At 36.8% G+C, this 20,368-nt stretch overlaps 1 protein-coding gene and 1 pseudogene across 7 annotated transcripts in view; one reads left to right on the top strand and one right to left on the bottom strand.

The window, feature by feature from the left end:
* THADA (THADA armadillo repeat containing) overlaps positions 1-20,368 on the top strand; it is a 365,188-nt gene that overhangs the window by 89,772 nt on the left and 255,048 nt on the right. For all 7 annotated transcript variants that reach the window (NR_073394.2, NR_144316.2, NM_001345924.2 and 4 more), the window contains 2 exons: positions 532-645; positions 7,312-7,434. Coding sequence is in view for 5 of the 7 variants with exons in the window: in NM_001345924.2 (NP_001332853.1) it covers positions 532-645; positions 7,312-7,434 (237 nt within the window). In the remaining 2 variants the exon portion in view is untranslated. The remainder of the gene's footprint in view (positions 1-531; positions 646-7,311; positions 7,435-20,368) is intronic.
* Positions 13,954-14,235, bottom strand: RN7SL531P (RNA, 7SL, cytoplasmic 531, pseudogene; annotated as a pseudogene).

The raw sequence follows: 20,368 nt of genomic DNA, 5'->3' as shown, positions 1-20,368 counted from the left end.
TTTTTGTTCCATGGAGTTTCAAATGCTTTGATTTGATTAGTCCTCCAAGTAATGATTCTTTTGTGAAGAATTAACTAACTGCTTCATCTCCAGGGAGGCTTAACATTCTTACAAGAATTTTAATCCAGAGATTTTTTGCTTTTTAAGTAAAGAGAATTTTCTTGTTAGATAAATTTGTTACTGAAACTGATTTGTTTATTTTATCAGAGCTGCCACCTACTTAGGATTCTTAAGGAGTTGTCAATAAGAGCCATTTTTTGGCCTTTTAGAATTATAAAATTTAATGAGCAAAGTGGAAGTGACCTTAGAGATGACATGATTTCACCTTCACCTAAATTTAGCGATGAAGAATCTGTAGGTTCAACTGTGAGGTTAAACCACTTGCCCACGGCCACATGGCTTAATTAACTTTCTTTGATAACCACATGTTTTTATTAAGGGGATTTTGCATTTTGGGATTGATCCAGGGAAGCAGCAAACAAGTATATGTAAACTAAGAACCCTGTTAATTTTTGCATTCTTTTTCCATAGGCACTGTTGGCATCTGAACCAAAGAAAGGCAGAATGGATTTGTTGAAAATAACAATGAAAGAGTTAATCTCTTTGGCTGGGCCTACAGATGACATACAGAGTACAGTCCCCCAGGTAATCATGGAAATACACAAACCCTCCAGTGTTGTTTTTTGTTTTGTTTTGTTTTTCACTTTTTTCAAGACGGCTGTTACCGTCTTGTTACCCAGGCTGGAGTACAGTGGCGCGATCTCAGCTCACTGCAACCTTCGCCTCCCAGGTTCAAGCAATTCTTCTGCCTCAGCCGCCTGCAGTTGTTTTAAATCTTTGCTTTATTTTTTAACAAAAAGTTTCTGCTGGAGATAAAGAACTCTTGAACATTGGACAGACATTTGAAGCTTGTTTGAATAGTTTTTCTCTCCTTCTTTTTTTTTTGTCTTTACCATCCACAAAATAAACCGTTGCTTTAGTTGAATATATTAATCAAAGCAAACAATTTTTAAACTCTGGTGAAAACATCCAGCTTATATAAGATATTTTATAATACTGTTGCATCTATGAATTTGAAAGTGCATATGCTAGCACTTTAGAATTTCATGTGTGCTTCTTTGCGTTGATGTACATTTTGTAACTCAGCAGTTGAAAATTTCCTTTAAATATGGTATCTACCTTTTGGGGTGTTCATATTTTACTAGCATTTAGTTCCTTTTAGTCACTACCTACATATATGAAGTTAAAGCACTCCTCATAGCTCCACTTCACCACTAGGGAGTAAATATTAATAACTATCAAGTACTGCTTGTACGTTATAGTCTGGACTTCCTCAGTTAATGCTTCATAGTAGGACACTCCTTTTTGGTTTGTTTGTTTTTTGAGACAGAGTCTCACTCTGTTGCTCATGCTGGAGTGCAGTGGTGCGATCGTGGCTCACTGCAACCTCCGCCTCCTGGGTTCAAGCGATTCCCATGCCTCAGCCTCCTCAGTAGCTGGAATTACAGGCATGGGCCGCCATGCCTGGCAAATCAGCTGAGGTCAGGAGTTTGAGACCAGGCCCAATCACCTGTTGGCCAGGTTGGTCTCGAACTCCTGACCTCAGGGATCTGCCTGCCTTGGCCTTCCAAAGTGCTAGGATTACAGGTGTGAGCCACCATGCCCAGCCTATAGTAGGACACTCCTACCCAACTGTAAAGGGCCATGCTAGGTCAGGGAACAGATTGAGAGCTGAAGTTTACAATCAAGTACGATAAGTACATATGATTTTATTTCAGAACCTGTGGGAGGTGTTAAAGAGAGCCCACAGGCCAGAATGAGGACTGTGGAAAAGAAAGGGGATTTTATGTTTATTGGATATTGGCAAAGTGTTAGATAAAGGGAGCCCATGGGCCAGAATGTGGACTGTGGGAAAGAATCCCCATTCTTTTCCACAGTCATATGGAACATAGTCATATGGCACATAGTGGCCAGTACCCATAGATATGAAATGTCTTTATTTCTTTAAAAAATTGACTGAAATGTTGTTAATCACCATTCAAAAATGATCACTTCAAGACATTTTTCAGTGAAATGTGAAAAAAATGTAATTGGTTCTATTTTCCTAGACTATCACTTTTAAAAAGTACATGTTGAGTATCTTTTATCTGAAATGCTGGGGACCAGAAGTGTTTCAGAGTTCAGTTTTTTTTTTTATTATTTTGGCATATTTGCATTATACTGAACAGGTCAGCATCTCTAATCTGAAAATCTAAAATGCTCCAATTAGCATTTCCTTAGAATGTCATGTCCGTGCTTTAAAAAGTTTCAGATTTTGGAGCTTTTTTGATTTCAGATTTTTGGATTTGGGATGCTCTACCTGTGCTATTTTTATAAGAACATCTAAAAATAATGGGGCTTGGTTTTAACGAGTGCTGGATAATTATTGCCCTACTCTACTTCAAGGTGATTAATGGCATTTTAGTGATCATTTTTATGAAATTGGTGAGATTTAAAAATTTTGTCTCTGACCAGTCTTCTAAGCTTTTTTAGTTGATAATTTGCTTTCCTTCTCCCCTCCCAGGGTTCATTTCTTTATTATTTTTATTATGTATCTTTGAAATATTTCAGTATACAGAAATGTATAGTGAATAATGAACATATTTGAAACCAGTTCCAGTTTAAAAAATTAAACATTACAGAGACCGTTAGTTATGCTGTGGATTCTTCCACATCTCATTCCCGTTTATTCCTCCTCAGTTATAATCACTAACCCAAATTAGTGACTATCATTCCCAAGCATTTTCATCATACTTTTATCTCCTTTTACATGAATGTTGTTTTCGACACTTTTTATACTTTGCTTTTGTCAATCAACATTATATTTTAAGATTAGTAAGCTCCTGTTCAGCCCCTGTTCACTTTCATTTCTGAACAGTATTTTATTCTATTTCATTTCATCCCTTCTGTGAATGGACATTTAGGTTGTTTCCCGTTTTCTTCTATTACAAACAATGCTGAAACAAACATTCTTGTGTGTCTCCTTACACACGTGAGTGTTTCTCCAGGTTATATACCTAGAAGTAGAATTGCAGGGTTGTAGGGTACACACATATTCAATCTGATGCTGTTATGTTGTCTCCAAAGTGGTTGAACTAATTTATATTCCTGCCAGCAGAGTATAAGAGTTTCCATTGCTTATCAACACCTTTGTATTATCAGACTTTTACAGTTTTTGACTTTCTGCTTAGTGTGAAATGGTGTTTTCTAGTTTTATTTTGCATCTTTCTTATTACTAGTTAGCTTTAACATCTTTTCATATGTTTATTAGCCTTTTGGTTTATATATGAAAGTTGTCTGTTGAAAGACTTTGCTTACTTTAATATTGGTTATTTGTCCCTTCATTTTTGTTTTGTAGGAGTTGGATTTTTATTGTTGTTTCAAAAATATTTTCTTGATATTGATTTCTTTTTGATTATTTGAATTACATATATATTCTCCCAAACTATGTTTTCTCTTTTTACTTTGTGGTCTCTATTATTATGTAGATATTTTTAATTTTAATAAAATAGAATAGGTCAGCTTTCTCCTTTATGGTTGTACATTTGGATCTTATTTCAGAAATTATACCCCAAGATGGGAAAGACATTTTATATTTTCTTTCTTTTTTCTTTTTCTTTCTTTCTTTTTTTTTTTTTTTTTTGAGACGAGGTCTCACTCTGTGGCCTAGGCTGGAGGGCAGTGGCACGATCTCAGCTCACTGCAACCTCTGCCTTCCAGGTTCAAGCGATTCTCCTGCCTCAGCCTCCTGAGTAACTGGCATTATAGACTTCTGCCACCATGCCCTGATAATTTTTATATTTTTAGTAGAGACGAGGTTTTGCCATGTTGACCAGGCTAGTCTCGAACTCCTGACCTCAGGTGATTCTCCCGCCTTGGCCTCCCAAAGTGCTGGGATTACCGGCGTGAGCCACCACACCTGACTGAGAAAGATATTTTATATTTTCTTTTAAAAGTTTTCAAGTTTTACTTGTCATAATTTTATGTAAATGAAACCATATTATTATTTTTTACTGATAGGATCTTGCTCTGTCACCCAGGCTGGAGTGCGTGCAAGTCTTTATATTACCTGTAATTTGTCTTTGTTTAGTGTAAAATAAAATAATTTAATGTTTGCCATTTGGATAACTAATACAGAGACATTTCTGTTATAACACATCCTTTTCTTCTTGATTTATACTGCGTCTGTTATGTGTTTTCATAGATAGGTGGTTCTGTTTCTGTGCTGTCTATTAATCTATCTTTGGAGCAAAACCACAGTTTTATTTTTGTTTCAACTTTTTTGAGATGGAGTCTCTCTCTGTCACCCAGGCTGGAGTGCAGTGGTGTGATCTCGGCTCACTGCAACCTTCACCACCTGGGTTCAAGCTATTCTCCCACCTCAGCCTCCTGAGTAGCTGGGATTACAGGCATGTGCCACCACTCCCAGCTAATTTTTGTATTTTTAGTAGAGATGGGGTTTCACCACGTTGGCCAGACTGGTCTTGAACTCCTGACCTCAAGTGATCTGCCCGCTAAGGCCTCCCAAAGTGCTGGGATTACAGGCGTGAGCCACCACACCTGGCCTAAAACCACTAGTTTAATTATTATGTCTTTATAAAAAGTTAGAATATCTGGCAAGGTGAATCTCTCTTTTTTTGTTTTCCCTTCAGAATGACCTTGGGTATGTTTGTCCTATTGCTGTTCCATAAAAATTTTAGAATTAGCTTGTTAAACTCAATAAAAAGCCCTTTTGGAATTTTGGTTAGAATTTAAATGTATTGATTTATTTGGGAAAAATTATCTTTTTAAGTATTGAATCTTCCATGAGCATGGCTTATTTCTCCATTTATTCAGATCATTTAATGTCATTTATTATTTTTTAAACTAATTCCCATAAAAGTCTCTCTTTTTTTTTTTTTTTTTTTTTTTTTTTTTTTTGGAGTTGGAGTTTCGCTTTTGTTGCCCAGGTTCGAGTGCAATGGTGCAATCTTGGCTCACTGCAACCTCCGCCTCCTGGGTTCAAGCAATCCTCCTGCCTCAGCCTCCTGAGTAGCCGGGATTACAGGCGTGCACCACCACGCCCAGCTAATTTTTTTATTTTTAGTAGAGACAGGATTTCACCATGTTGGCCGGGCTGGTTTTGAACTCCTGACCTCAGGTGATCCACCTACTTCAGCTTCCCAAAGTGCTGGGATCACAGGCTTGAGCCACCATGCCTGGCCCATAAACGTCTTATAGATTATTTTTGAGATTTATTTCTAATGTCTTTTTTTTTGCAATTATGAATGGTACTTTTAAAAGATTATATTATCTGTTGCTGTTTGAGAAGAATGCAGTTAATTTTTGGGTTATAATTGTGCTTGTATTCAGCAGCCTATCAGAATTGCTGTAACACAGCAAATGACTTACCTGTAAATTCTTTTGGATTTGTTTTATGGATAATCATACCTTTGACAAATAATGCTAAGTTTGTTTTAACTTTCTATTTTTTAGTTTTTTCAAAACAGTTTTTATTGTACTTTGCTGCTGGAACCTGTAGTAAAGTTTGGTATAGAAAGAGAGATAGCAGGCATCCTTATGTTGTTTCTGATCAATCTGCTGCAATTTTTAATCTACCCAGTATCTTATTAAGGAAATTGAATTTTATTGAATATTTTTTGCATCTTTTTAGATAAATATGTTTTCTTCTAGAAAATGCAGATGTCATGAATTGTATTGATTTTTCAATTTATCTTTGCATTCTTGCATATCTCACTGGTTTTGTGAGTGAGACTGGCCTGTGGTTTTCCTTTTTGTGCTGTGCCTGTCCTGTCTTTTTAAATATGCATCTTTTGATGGAATTATAGTACATATACAGACAAGTGTACAAACCATATGTGTACCTCAGTACAGTTTCACAAAGTGAACACATTTGTGCAGCCATCAAGAAATAGAACATTTCTAGCAACTGAAAGCCCCCTCTTGCTCTCTTCCAGTCCACATCCTTCTCTCCAAGAGTAACCACTAGCCTAACTTCCAATACTCTAGTTTTAGTTTTATCTTTTTTTTGAGTTTTACATAAATGAGACCATACATTATTATTATTTTTTTATTTTAGAGACGGGATCTTGTTCTGTCACTCAGGCTTGAGTGGAGTGGTACAGTCTTAGCTCATTGTAGCTTCAAACTCTTTGATAATATTTTTTATTTGTGCCTTATTTCTCTTCTCTCTTCTTGGTTAGTCATGTCAGGGGTTTATTTCTGTTTCAGAGAATCAGCTTTTGGGTTTGTTAATGCTCTTAGTTGTGTTTTTGCTATTTTAAAAGTTTCTGCTCTAAATTTTTATTTTCTTTCTGTGTTTCAAGTTTATTGTTGACTTATTTTCTCTTGACTTAATTCGTCACTTACCACAATCATTCTAGTCATTTAAAAAAATAGAAGCATTTGAGATGTACATTTTTTTTTGAATTTCACTTAAGCTGCATCCTACAAGTATTGATATGTAGGTAGCGTCTTCAAAATATTTAAAAAAAAAAATTTGACCAGTGTTTAATGTGCTTGAAAATGTGCCGATTTTAAGCATTTTTTTAGGCCGGGTGCGCTGGCTCACACCTATAATGCCATCACTTTGGGAGGCCAAGGCAGGTGGATCACCTGAGATCAGGAGTTCAAGACCAGCCTGGCCAACATGTTGAAACCCTGTCTCTACTAATTATACAAAACTTAGCCGGCCGTGGTGGCACATATCTGTAATCGCAGCTACTCGGGAGGCTGAGGCAGGAGAATCGCTTGAACCTGGGAGGTGGAGGTTGTAGTGAGCCGAGACTGTGCCATTCTGTTCCAGCCTGGGCGACAAGAGTGAAACTCCATCTAATAAAATAAAATAAAATAAAAAATAAAGTTTTTTTTAAAGTTTCTTAATTCCATGGTGATCAGAGCATAATCTATAAGTTATTAATTACTTGGTATTTGTTGAGACTTTATTTGTGGCTAGGTATGAGGGATTTTAGAAAATAAATGTTTCATGTGTGCTCGAAAAGAATGTGTTGTCTCTGTATTTTAGGTGCAGGCTTCTACATATGTCCATTGGATCAAACTTTTTTATAGCATTGTTTGAATCTTACTAATTTTTTGTAAAATGGTTTATCAGCTACTGGATGTGTTTTATTAAATCTGCTATTTCATTTGCGGATTATCCATTTCTTGTAATTCAGTAAATTTTTTGTTTTGAAGCTGTACTATTGGATATGTGTAGATTTAGAATTAGCCATGGTTTTCAACCCACAACTAATTTTGAACTTCTTGTTTTAGGTTCATGCTTTAAATATCCTTAGAGCATTGTTCAGAGATACGCGCCTGGGAGAAAATATTATTCCTTATGTTGCTGATGGAGCTAAGGCTGCAATTCTGGGTTTTACATCACCGGTCTGGGCAGTAAGTGCTGTCACTATTTATTTTCATTGATTTAATTATGCTTCTGAGTAGGTTTTAATAAACTAATCTTTCACTGGGTGATAAAAAATATTTCCTGCCCTTTACCATGAATTTTCTTAGAAATCTTTGGATCAAGCTACATTTTTGATTCTTGATATTTCATGGTTCCATTTTCACTCATTTGTTGGCTTGTTAGCCATCTTTCTTTTTTTTTTAATTTTATTGATTGCTTTAGGGTTTACAGTATGTATGTTTGACTGATCACAGACTACTCTCAAGTGATATTACACCATGTCACTTAAAGTATAAGAACTTAATAATAGTGCACTTCTGTTTCTCTCCTCCCAATCTATGTGCTGTTATTGTTACACATTTTACTTTTATGTGTGTTGTAAACTTACACTACATTGTTGTTATTTTTCTTTAAATAGCCAGTTATATTTCTTTTCAATTTACCACTTTAACCGTTTTTTTAAGTATATACAATGCAGTGGCATTATGTGCATTCACAACAACATTTATCAGCACTGTGCATTTCTGGAACATTTTCATCATCCCGAGCAGAAGCTCTGTACTCATTAAACACTAACTCCCATCTCTCATCTCCCTCACCCCTAGTAACCTCTATTCTCCTTTCTGTCTCTGTGGATTTGCCTGGTCTAATACCTCATATAAATGGAATCGTACAATATTTGTCCTTATGTTATTGGCTTCTTTCATGTAGTATATGAAGGGTTGATCCATACTGTGTGGGGTGGGGGGCTGTGTGTGTATATTGGTTTATCAGTATACACACATCCCACATTTTCTTTTTTTAATTTTTATTTAAGTTCCAGGATACATGTGTAGAATGTGCAGGTTTTTTACATAGATATAAGCGTGCCATGGTGGTTTGCTGCACCTACCAACCTGTCATCTAGTTTTTTGTTTGTTTGTTTGTTTTTAATTGAGTTGGAGTCTTGCTCTGTCACCCAGGCTGGAGTGCAGTGGTGTGATCTCAGCTCACTGCAACCTCTGCTTCCTGGGTTCAAGTGATTCTTTTGCCTCAGCCTCCCGAGTAGCTGGGACTACAAGTGGATGCCACCACACCCAGCTAATTTTTGTATTTTTGGTAGAGAGAGGGTTTCACTATGTTAGCCAGGCTGGTCTCGAACTCCTGACCTCGTGATCTGCCCACCTTGGCCTCCCAAAGTGTTGGGATTACAGGCATGAGCCATAACGCTCAGCCTGTCATCTAGGTTTTAAGCCCGGCATGCATTAGCTATTTGTCCTGATGTTCTCCCTCCCTTCCTGACTCCAACAGGCCCTGGTGTGTGTTGTTCCCCTTTCTGTGTCTATGTGTTCTCACTGTTCAGCTCCCAATTATGAGTGAGGACATGCAGTGTTTGGTTTTCTGTTCCTGTGTTAGTTTGCTGAGGATGATGGCTTCTAGCCTCATCCATGTCCCTGCAAAGGACATGATCTCATTCCTTTTTATGGCTGAATAGTATTCCATGGTGTATATGTACTACATTTTCTTTATCCAGTCTATCATTGATGGGCATTTGGTTTGGGTCCATGTCTTTGCTATTGTAAATAGTGCTGCAATAAACATATGTTTCATATATCTTTATAGTCGAATGATTTATATTCCTTTGGGTATATATCCAGTAATGGCATTGTTGGGTCAAATGGTATTTCTGGTTCTAGATCCTTGAGGAATCACCACACTGTCTTCCACAGTGGTTGAACTAATTTACATTTCCACCAACAGTGTAAAAGTTTTCCTATTTCTCCACAGCCTTACCAGCATCTGTTGTTTCTTGACTTTTTAGTAATCACCATTCTGACTGGCGTGAGATGGTATCTCATTGTGGTTTTGATTTGTATTTCTCTAATCATCAGTGATGTTGAACTACCACATTTTCTTTATCCAAATTCATCTGTTGATGGACGTTTAGGTTGTTTCCACTTTTTGGCTATTATGAATAATGCTGCAATGAATTATAATGTATAAATTATCTGAGTCATTTTAGTTCTTTTGGGTATATCATATGGTAATTCCATGTTTAACTTTTTGAGGAATGAACAAACTTCTTCCCCAGCAGCAGCACCATTTTATACTCCCATCAGCCATGCACAAGTTCCAGTTTGTTTAGATCTTTACCAATACTCGTTATCTTTTTTTTTTTGATAATAGCCATCTTAATGGGTGTGAAGTGGCATCTCATTCTGATTTTGATTTGCATTTCCCTAATGATTAATTATGTTGATCTGGAAACAAAACAACTCTGAGCGTATAAATGTGTCTGTATTTTGGATGCTGTGGACTCTGCTGTTAGTATGTTAAGTTAGTGCTACAAATAAACTCTATCAAAAGTTTGAAAAAACGAGACACTCGCAAAACATTGAAATGGAAGAGGTTAAATACTGAGTCGCATTTTCTTTTGTAATATGTTCACTGTCCAGAAGCATTTTGATTCAAAACTTTAAAGATAATGGGCAATACCCAGTACAATTGTTGGATTTAAGAAAGTAATTTTTCGTGTGTTTTCTTATGATTTCTGGGAGAAACATTATAGTTTGTTTTCCTATATCATGTCTTCTAGAGTAAGGAGAATAATTATAGATGCTTGAAATGTGGCTTAAAGTAAAAAGTCTGGCAAAGGGAGAAGAGAAAAGAAGCTAGATCTTAATACATTACCTGCAGAGTGGAGTATTTACTAGAAAGTCAGGCTTTCCAGTTAGTAAGCTGCACAAACCATTTCTTACCTGTATGATAAGCCTCTAATTGAGAGTAAGTATTTTGCAGTGAAAGCCAAAGGCACAGACTCCCATTGTGAAGAGGAATCCTTTGAGGTTGCCAACTCTTGCCTAGAAAATTGTGCGTCTTCCTGTAAGAGATACACACTTCTGGAATTCTGTCTAAGAGCATTGCATAACTACTCTTGAGGACACAGAGTTTACCTTTTATACTTACAGGAAGTAGAGCAATGCCTTTATACTGTCAGTAGAGTCAGAGAGGTAGGAATGTGGCTTGACCATCAGGAATACTGGAGATCATAAAAGTGATTGTCAGAAATATCAATATTGCTTTCTTGAAGCCATTAGTTCCAGATGAACCAAGAAATATTTTCCGTGAAAGGACTTTCTGAGAGTGAAGCCTGGTGATTCGTCCAACTTTTTAGTAAAATTCAAACTATCAGAAATGAGTGATTCATTTTTTTTTTGAAAAGACTATTTTTTGAGACCCTAAACAGTAATACATGTGCACTGCAGAAATTTTGAAAATAAAGAAAAGCATAATAAGAACAGTAAAAGTCACCTGTTAAATTACCGTACAGATATGAGCATTCTGATTCATTTTCTTTCTCTTTTTTTATGTGTGGGCTTTACATGTGCATAGTACATGTATGCATACATATCCACAAAAGGCTGCATAAATATATATAAATGTTTTTATTTTCTTTCTAATTTCATAATACTAATAATTTTATTTCTTGGGATCTTCCTTTTTAACACTTTATGAAGGAAACATTTCTATTTAGTTTGCTTTACTAGAGGAAATAAATATCATAGCTATAATGATCAACACTGTTACTTAATATTATCAATGGTTATATTTTCTTCTGTATAAAAATCTAAGATAAAATTTATGAGTCAACCTATTTAATGGATGTGAAGAAGTATTCACTTACAAAAACAATTTACAAAAGCATTCTCTGTTGAAGTGATTTTAAGTGTGATTTTTCCTTAATGCATACGAAATACGGTTTGATTTGCAGAACTTTGATTTGTACACATCCTCTTGGGAATATAACTGTGCCTAAAGCTGGCTACATCTGTACTTTTGACTTGATTGTTTTTCCTGATAAGTTAGGGAAAACACACATGTAAAATGAACTTAATTTTAACTTGCAGTAAAGAAACATTTTTCAGAAAGCATTCATGTATATATTTAATTTGTTTTTACAGACTCCTTAGTCTTTCGTATTGAAACCATACAGATCTCTCAAACTTTGCTACCTAGTAGGCATTCTTAAAATATAGGGAAATGTAGTATGTAAATATTTTCGGCATTAGACATATCTGCTTACTGTATTGTAGATGTTATGTTAAGCACTAGAAATACAAGGATAGATAACACATAATCATAATAATGGCTGTCTTATTGAGTATTTCTCATGTACCTGGCATAATTTACATTGCATTGATTATCTTAGTAGCTTCTGTTATCCAGGTATGTTCTGTTATAATCCTCATTTTACAGATGAAGAAAACAAGGCTCAGAGAGATGAAATAACTCTGCCTAAGGACACAAAACTATTACCTGTCCAACTCCAGAATGTGTGCTATTGTAGAGGAGATGTTTGGGTATTTTAAGAATACAAAGAAGGTACATTTTACCTACCTTCTAGGGTTTTGGCCCTATTTTCTTATTAAACAGAGCTGGAAGTAAAGCCCGGGTCCTAACATTTTATTGAGTGGTACTAACCAAGACCAGCAGGAATGAAAGAAAAAGGGAAGTGAGGCAAGGAAAGATGAATGATATTACCAAGGGAACCTTAACCTTGCAGAAAATCTGAGCTGGTTGTCTTGTACATGGTGCATCTTCTAGCCAGACCATGTGAAACTACCACCTTTTGGAACAGCCCAATATGTTTGTCTTTTACTGGTCAAAGTTCATCCTTGGGGCATTACCACAATTTGGGCAGGTGTTGGCACAACCCTTGGGCAGCTGCTAGGGAAGCCAGATCGCATGTCCAGTGATGTGGCATCTCATCTGAGTCTGAAAGTGGCTGGATGAACCAGAGCTTCCATGGATATAGTTGGAACAGACCTGAGGTTTGAAATAATGACTTCTACTGTGTTGAAAAGCTCTGCATGAAAGAAATTTATAGCAGGGGAGTCATGGGATGTGATTGATGTAGGTAAAAGTGGAGACTTGATTGTAAGATAGCAAGAGGGAAGGAAGAAGACCAGTCAGGAAGCTATTGTAATAGTTCTACCAAAAGATGGTGGTGGCTCAGCAAAGATGGGGAAAAGTGATAGTCTTTAACATATTATTTATATTAAAAATATTTCAGAGATTAAACCAACCAGTTTAGTTAACAATCTAAGTTAACAGAAAGTAATTTGTGGAACCCGAGAATTTACTAGGCAGTTTTTGTTTAAAAATATCACTCATCTCTCTTTATTATGTTCAGTGACTAGGGGAGGCCTGATCTTCTTTCCTTGCATCCTCATCCTCATTGCAGAACAGGCAATTCTCGGCTTTCCCAGTGGAGCCCGCCCAAAAAACTCCACTGAGTATGCCACTTAGAGTCTTTCTAAGACCCACACTGGGTTTATTTTTATTTTGGACGGAGTCTTGCTCTGTCGCCAGGCTGGAGTGCAGTGGCATAATCTCATCTCACTGCAACCTCTGCCTCCCGGGTTCAAGCGATTCTCCTGCCTCAGCCTCACTAGTAGCTGGGACTACAGGCGCATGCTACCACGCCCAGCTAATTCTTGTATTTTTAGTAGAGACGGGGTTTCACCATGTTGGCTAGAATGGTCTCAATCTCTTGACCTCGTGATCCACCCGCCTTGTCCTCCCAGATTGCTGGAATTACAGGTGTGAGCCACTGCGCCTGGCCTATATTTTTATCTGGTGTATATTTAGCTTGCTTCCCCCAGGGTAATCTGGTTCATAGCATGCAGTGGGTTTCAAAGGAGGGTAGGAAAAAGATCCTGTTAGATCTGCCCAGTAGTGCTGCCATGCCATGGCTACTCTGTGCCTCTGTTGGCACCAGCATCTCCAGGCCCTCTGATAATTATGAGGTTGCCACAAGGGTGCTACACTGAGAGCTGTGTACTGCTGAAACCTAGCTGTGCTCTATTCACTGTGCCGCGTGCCTTGGCATGGAGCTTCATTGACCTAGAGGAAGAGGGACCTTTTTTCTAATTCACTCATATGTACTATATGGGCTAGTTTAAACCCTGTCTCTTCTTTTGTCTGCTCATAGGTGAAGTGTCTTGCTACTTTGGAAGAGGGTCACCAGAAACTCTAGGACATGGCTGGCCCTCCCTTTAATCATAGGCCCAGAAATCCCAGCACAGTTTTCCTGGATTACAGATGATAGACTTGTGACCCAAAGTTTTAACTGTCTTTTCATGGTCACATGGCTAAGAAGTGATGGAAGGCGAATTAGAACCCAAATCTCATTTAGTTTTCTCAGAAAATATTTTTTTCTGCTACCACGTACACAAGACAAAATATTAAGTGTCATGTGTGGATCCCATCCTTAAGAAATTGACTGCCTATTAAGGATAGGGTGTGTGGTGTGTAAATGACCATATTACATAGCAATTGCACATAGTAGGCTGTCCATTCATACTTTTCAAATATTTTTCAAGGGAGCATTTCTATTATATAAGAAAAGCTATATACATAGATAAGAAAAATATACACATATATACATGTGCACACACACACACAGAAGGCTTTGTGTAACCCAGTTTTAATTACCAAACTGTTCTGTATTTTTTTTTTTTTTTTGAGACAGAGTCTCACTGTGTTGCCCAGGCTTGAGTGCAGTGGCGCCATCTTGGCTCACTGCAACCTCCACCTCCCAGGTTCAAGTGATTCTCCTGCCTCAGCCTCCTGAGTAGCTGGGATTACAGGCGCCCGCCACCAAGTCCAGCTAATTTTTGTATTTTTAGTAGAGATGGGGTTTCACCATGTCGGCCAGGCTGGTCTCGAACTCCTGACCTCAAGCAATCCATCTGCCTCGGCCTCCCAAAGTGCTGGGATTACAGGTGTAAGCTACTGCACCCAGCCTCTTCTGTATCTTAAACGAGTCTACATGAAAGCTTTTTCATGCAAGAAAGGAAAGAAAAAGTTATACACTCTGTGAATAGAAGAGAAAAATTTTGGTAACAGTTGTCAGTTTGCAGTTGAATTCCAAGTTCCTATCAACCATGTATTTAGGGCTTGATGGAGAAGGAGGTCAGGAGCAGGAAGTGCTTCCCTCGTGAGAAGGATAGATTTTAGCTGGGATTAAAGTCATGCATTACTTAATGACAGGAATTAATTCTGAGAAATCTGTTGTTTGGGAATTTCATTGTTGTGTGAACATCATATTGTATACATGCACAAACCTAGATGTATAGCCTACTCCACACCTAGGTTGTATGATATAGCTTATTATTCCTAGGCTACAAACTGTACAGCATGCTATCATACTGAGTATGCTACCATGCTGAGTATGTAGGCATTTGTAACACAGTGTTAATTATTTGTATGTCTAAACATAGAAAAAGTACAGTAAAAATACAATATTATAATCGTATGGGACTATCATTACATATGTGGTCCATTGTTGACCACAGCATCATTTTGTGGTTCATTACAGCTATTATCATTTCTCCATTTTTAGCTGTACTACTGCTTACCCTTTTCTGTCTTTACTCTCCTTTTTACTTATTAATGGCAATAACTGCGGTTACTTTTGCACCAACCTAATGTGTTTTCCATCTATCCTTCCAAAAAGGGACATGTTTTATTGCCAATACTACTAATGTATTACTCACATTAAGATTGCTATCAATGATTCATATTAGCATTTATTGTCAGTGAATTAGGAGTTGATAATGTAGTTTGTTAGTCACAACCTCTTTCTCAATTCTTTGTCTACTTCAGTTTCCTCCTTGTTAGCTTTATTTATAGTGGATGGGAACAGAAAATATGGATGAAATAGTAAAACATACAAAGCAATACCTGAAACAGATATCCTTGAACCATTCATACTGTCACACAGAAATCTAGGGGACACTCTTCTGTCTTAAGTAGGAAGTAGGCTTTCATGCCAGTTATTTTGCTCTATATTTACAATAACTCTTTTAAGTGTTGTTCTGTATAACTTACAGAATTCTAAAACAGAGTATGTATTTTTCAACCTATAAAAATCAATTACAGTACTCCCCTCCTCAAATTTGAGGAGGATGCATTCCAAGACCCCCAGTGGATGCCTGAAACCATGGTTAGTACTAAACCCTATGGATTCTGTTTTTTCCTATACATACATACCTGTGATAAAGTTTAATTTATAAATTAGATATCATAAGAGATAACAATTATAACAATAGACCATAATAAAAGTTAAGTGAATGTGATTGCTCTCAAAATACGTTAGTGTACTATACCACAGGTAACTGAAACCACAGAAAGCAAAACTGCTAATGAGGGAGGACCATTGTAATGTAATATACTGTGTGAATAGACTAAAGAACAAAACCCACATTATTAAGCAGATACAAAAGAGGCATTTGACAAAATCTAATGCTATTTTATGTGAAAAAAAACTAAGAATGGAAGGGAAATTTCTCAACCTCAGTGGAAAATCCAGAGTCAACAATATACTTGATGGTAAAGGACTGAAATCTTTCTCTCTAAAATCAGGAACAAGACAAGGAAATCCACTCTTGTCACTCCTATTCAACATTGTACTGGAGTTCCTAGTAGGCCAACTAGAGAAGAATAAAAAATAAAAGTTATCCAGTAAAGGAAGATGCAAAACTATCTCTATTTTCTGATGACATGATCTTAAATATAGAAAAATCCTAAGGAATCCACACACATGCAAATTAAAGCTTGTCTATTAGCAAGGTTTCAGGACAAAAGGTCATCATACAGAAATTGTACACTAGCAGTGAAAAATCTAAATGAAATTAAGAAAACAGTTTCATTTATGATAGCATCAAAAAGAATAAAATACTTAGGAATAAATTTAGCAAAGGAACTGCAAGAGTTGTTCACTGAAAATTATCAAACATTTTTTGAAGAAATTATAGGCCTAAATAAATGGAAAGATCTCCTGTGTTCATCACTGGAAGACTTAACTATTGTTAAGATGACGTATTCCCCAAATTAATTAATCTATAGATTCAGCACAACCTCTGTTAAATCCCTTCTAGCTTTTTTTTTTTTTTTTTTTTGCAGATCTTAAAATACATATGGAAATGTGAGGGACCCATAATAGCCAAAACAATCTTGAAAAAGAACAAAGTTGGAGGCCCCACAGGTCCCAATTTCAAAACTTAATGCAAAGCAACAGTAAATTAGAGCTTGTGGCATTGACATAAGGTTAGGCACATAAATCAGCAGATTAGGATTGATTGTACAGAAATAAACCCCCACATTTAATAAAGGTGCCAAGACAATTCAGTAGAGAAAGAATAGCCTTCAACAAATGGTACGGGGACAACTGGATATCCACATGCAAAAGAATGAATGTGATCCCCATCTCATACCATATTCAGATGACTCAAAATGTCTTAAAAACCTAAATGTAAAAGCTAAAACTATAAAACTTGTAGAAGAGGACCTGGGTAAATTTTTGTACCTTGGATTAGATAACATTTAGTTAGATATGACACCTAAGGTACAAGCAATACAAAAATTGATAAATTAGACTGGGAATGAAAAAAACTGATAAATTAGACTCGATCAAAATTAAAAATGTCTGGCTGGGCATAGTGACATGCACCTGTAGTCCCAGCTACTCGGAAGGCTGCAGCTGGAGGATTGTTTGAGCCCAGGAATTCAAGGCTGCAGTGAGCTATGATTACACCACTGCACTCCATCCTGGGCGACAGAGCAAGAAGCTGTCTTAGAAAAGTTAAAAAAAATTTTTTTTAAATAAAGCTTAACCAGCATCAAGAAAAAAAATGTTTTTCAAAGGACACAATCAAGAAAGTATAAAGACAACCCACAGAATGGGAGAAAATATTTGCGTATTATACATCTGATAAGAGTGGAGTGTCCAGAATATATAAAGAACTCTTATAACTCAATAATAAACGACAACCCAATTTTAAAATGGACAAAGAATATTTATCTCCAAAAAAGATAGGCAGATGGCCAGTAAGCACACAAAAGGATACTTAACACCATTAGTCATGAGGGAAATGCTACAATGAGTTACCATTCCATGCCCACTAAAATAAAATGCATGGAAAATAACTAGTATTAGGGAGGATGTGGAGAAATTGGAGAACTGGTGAAATTGGAACGCTAATACATTGCCAGTGAGACTATGAAATGGTGCTACCACTTTGGCAGTTCTTTTGAAGGTTAAACATAGAGTTACTCTGTGACCAAGCAATACTACTTCTAGGTATATAGTCATGAGAAATGAAAACATGTTCACACAAAAACTTGTACATGAATATTCTTAGCAAAATTATTCATAATATTCCAAATTGGAAATAGCCCAAATGTCCGTCAAATGAAGAACAGATTTTAAAAATACGGTATATCTGTACAATGGGATATTATTAAGCCATAAAAAAGGAATAACATACTGATACATGCTACAACATGGGGGAACCTTGAGAACATTATGCTAGGTGAAAGAAGCCAAACATTAAAGGCCGCATACTACATGATCCCATGTATATGAAGTATCCAGAAAAGGCAAGTTTATAGAGACACAAAGTAGATTGTGCTTTCCTACTGCAGGAGAATAGGGAGTGACGACTAACGGCTCCCGAGTTTCATTTTGAGGTAATGAAAATATTGTGGAATTTGGTTAGTGGTGATAGCTTCACACTTTGTTAATATAGCAAAAACCACTGAATAGCATCCTTTAAAATAATAAATTTTATATGTGAATTATACCTCAATTTAAAAAAGTAATTTAAAAGTGATTTTAAAACAATCATGCAGTCACCTTTGGAGGTTGGTATGGCATGAACTAATTATTCTGAAAATGATCAATATATGGAAATAATTCTTTACTAACTGATGAACAGGGTAACCAAATAGCAGATGAGGAAAAACTTTAAAAAAATAAAGTTTTTCTGAGGATGTAAATGATTAATGCAGAAGGCCTATAGAATATCGTGATTTTGCTGCACCTAATGGAAAATGTAATGATCATCATTGATCGCTAATGAGGGCACTTTATAAGGGATATCTTAGTCCCTTCGGGCTGCTATAACAAAATACCACAAATTTATTTCCCACAGTTTGGAGGCTGGAAAGTCCAAGATCAATATGGTGGCAGATTCAGTGTCTGGTGAAGGCCTACTTTCTGGTTCATAGATAGCACCTTTTAGCTGTGTCCTCACATGGTAGAAGTGAGGCAGCTCACTGGGGCCTCTTTTATAAGGGCACTAATCGCATTCGTGAGAGCTCTACCCCCATGACTTAATTATTTCCCAAGGGCCTCCACCACCTAACTCCTTGGAGGTTAGAATTTCAACATGTGAATTTTTGGGGAACACAAATATTCAGACCATATCAGGATGGATCAGGCAGATAGGATTAGAACTGTCTGGTCCATCTTAATATTACTAAAAAGACATGTGTCTCCTGCCGTCAGTCTATTGAATCAAAGGAGTTTTGTTTCAGAGGGTATCCATTCACTTTGTAAAATAGTCCTCTACAGTTTTGTTTAAGGTGTGCATTTCTCAACATCTCCAGGCACTCCTGTTTTAATTTTACTGCATCTGGCAGCCTTTGTCAGAAAGTATGGCTTAGGGCAAGATGGAGTCTGTGTTTCTGTTTTCCTTTTCTTTTTGTGTTTTTGTGTGATTTCTGAGAGGAGAGAAGGTCCCAGATATCTTTACCAAGTCATCTTAGACCTAAAAGTCTTTGGGAACTACCTCACTAGATCAGGTAGAAGATAATCCAGACCTGAATGAGGGCAGAGATTATATTGATAAAGTAACAGCATGGATTGATTTGTTATTTGGGGATTAAATTAGGCAGGGCACATAGTAGGGCCTCCTTGGATGTTTGATGGCTGTTGAATGAACGTAAGTGAATCTGTTCAGTTTTAGGGTTTTATTGCATTTTTGATATGGATTGTGCCAGTATATCTGTAAAGTTCACTTCTATGGCTACCATGCATGACTTGAGTCAGTTCTGGGCTTCTAGAGGAGAGGTTACAAACTGGTGGCCAGTAGGACAAACTAGCCTACCACTGTTTTATTTGGCTTTCATGGTGTTTGGTTCTTTTTTTCCTTTAATTTCCTGCCAGCATTTCAAAATAGATTTCACATAAAAACCAGGGTTCCTGGCTTCTCTTGAAAAAGCAGATGATCTGGCAAAACTGGACTTATATTTCCTCATGGCAGCAACTCAGCTGACACTGACTGCATTAGACCAAGTCCACTGCTGCCTGTGTCACTCACTTTTCCTGTGAGCATTTGAGCTTGTGACTCTAAGGGCATTGCTTTCAGGAAGCTGTTTTCTAAATCTTAACGTTACTTTTAGTGATCTTTCTACTTATATTGCTATTTAACACACCATGTGGTTATGTCACTTACTTAATTAGAGTATAAGGTCTGTAATACCAGTAAGTATGTGTTTTCTGTTTCTGGATCTTATCCATGGTGCTGGTATAGGGCCTTACACACTGTAGCAAGGTGAGTACATATATATCTCTACACCGATTTTTACAGAGTAATTGAGGAAGCCTATAGTGCCAAAACAGTCAAGACCCTTTTATGCTCTTCCAAAGCATCTTGACACATTGGTTTGGAAAAGATAGGGAAAAGATTATTATCATCTTGGAGAAATAATTTGTGTTTATTCATGGTAATTCCTGCCTCTTATCTTTACTAATGTTATCAGTTAATTTCAGTATTGAAATTACTTGGTAAGTTACTTGCATTGTGAAGCTGATAAGCAACATTTTGGATTTAACTATTTTCTTAGCCATATTAATTACCTGGATTCTTTGAAGTTAGGATTTTTGGATTTTCTTTTTGTTTTTTTAAAGACAGGTTCTCACTCTTTTGCCCAGGCTGGAGCACAGTGGCACAATCATAGCTTACTGCAGCCTCAAACTCCTGGCCTTATGCAATCCTCCTGCCTGAGCCTTCTGACTACCTGGGACTATAGGCATGTGCCATGGCTGTAAAAATAACAACAACAACAAAAAGTCAAAAGCAAAACAAACAA

The sequence above is a fragment of the Homo sapiens genome, chromosome 2 (assembly GCF_000001405.40).
Source record: "Homo sapiens chromosome 2, GRCh38.p14 Primary Assembly".
In the NCBI taxonomy this organism is placed as follows: Eukaryota; Metazoa; Chordata; class Mammalia; order Primates; family Hominidae; genus Homo; species Homo sapiens.
Note: the sequence above shows the minus strand (reverse complement) of the source record. Positions and strands in the feature narration are given on the sequence as shown.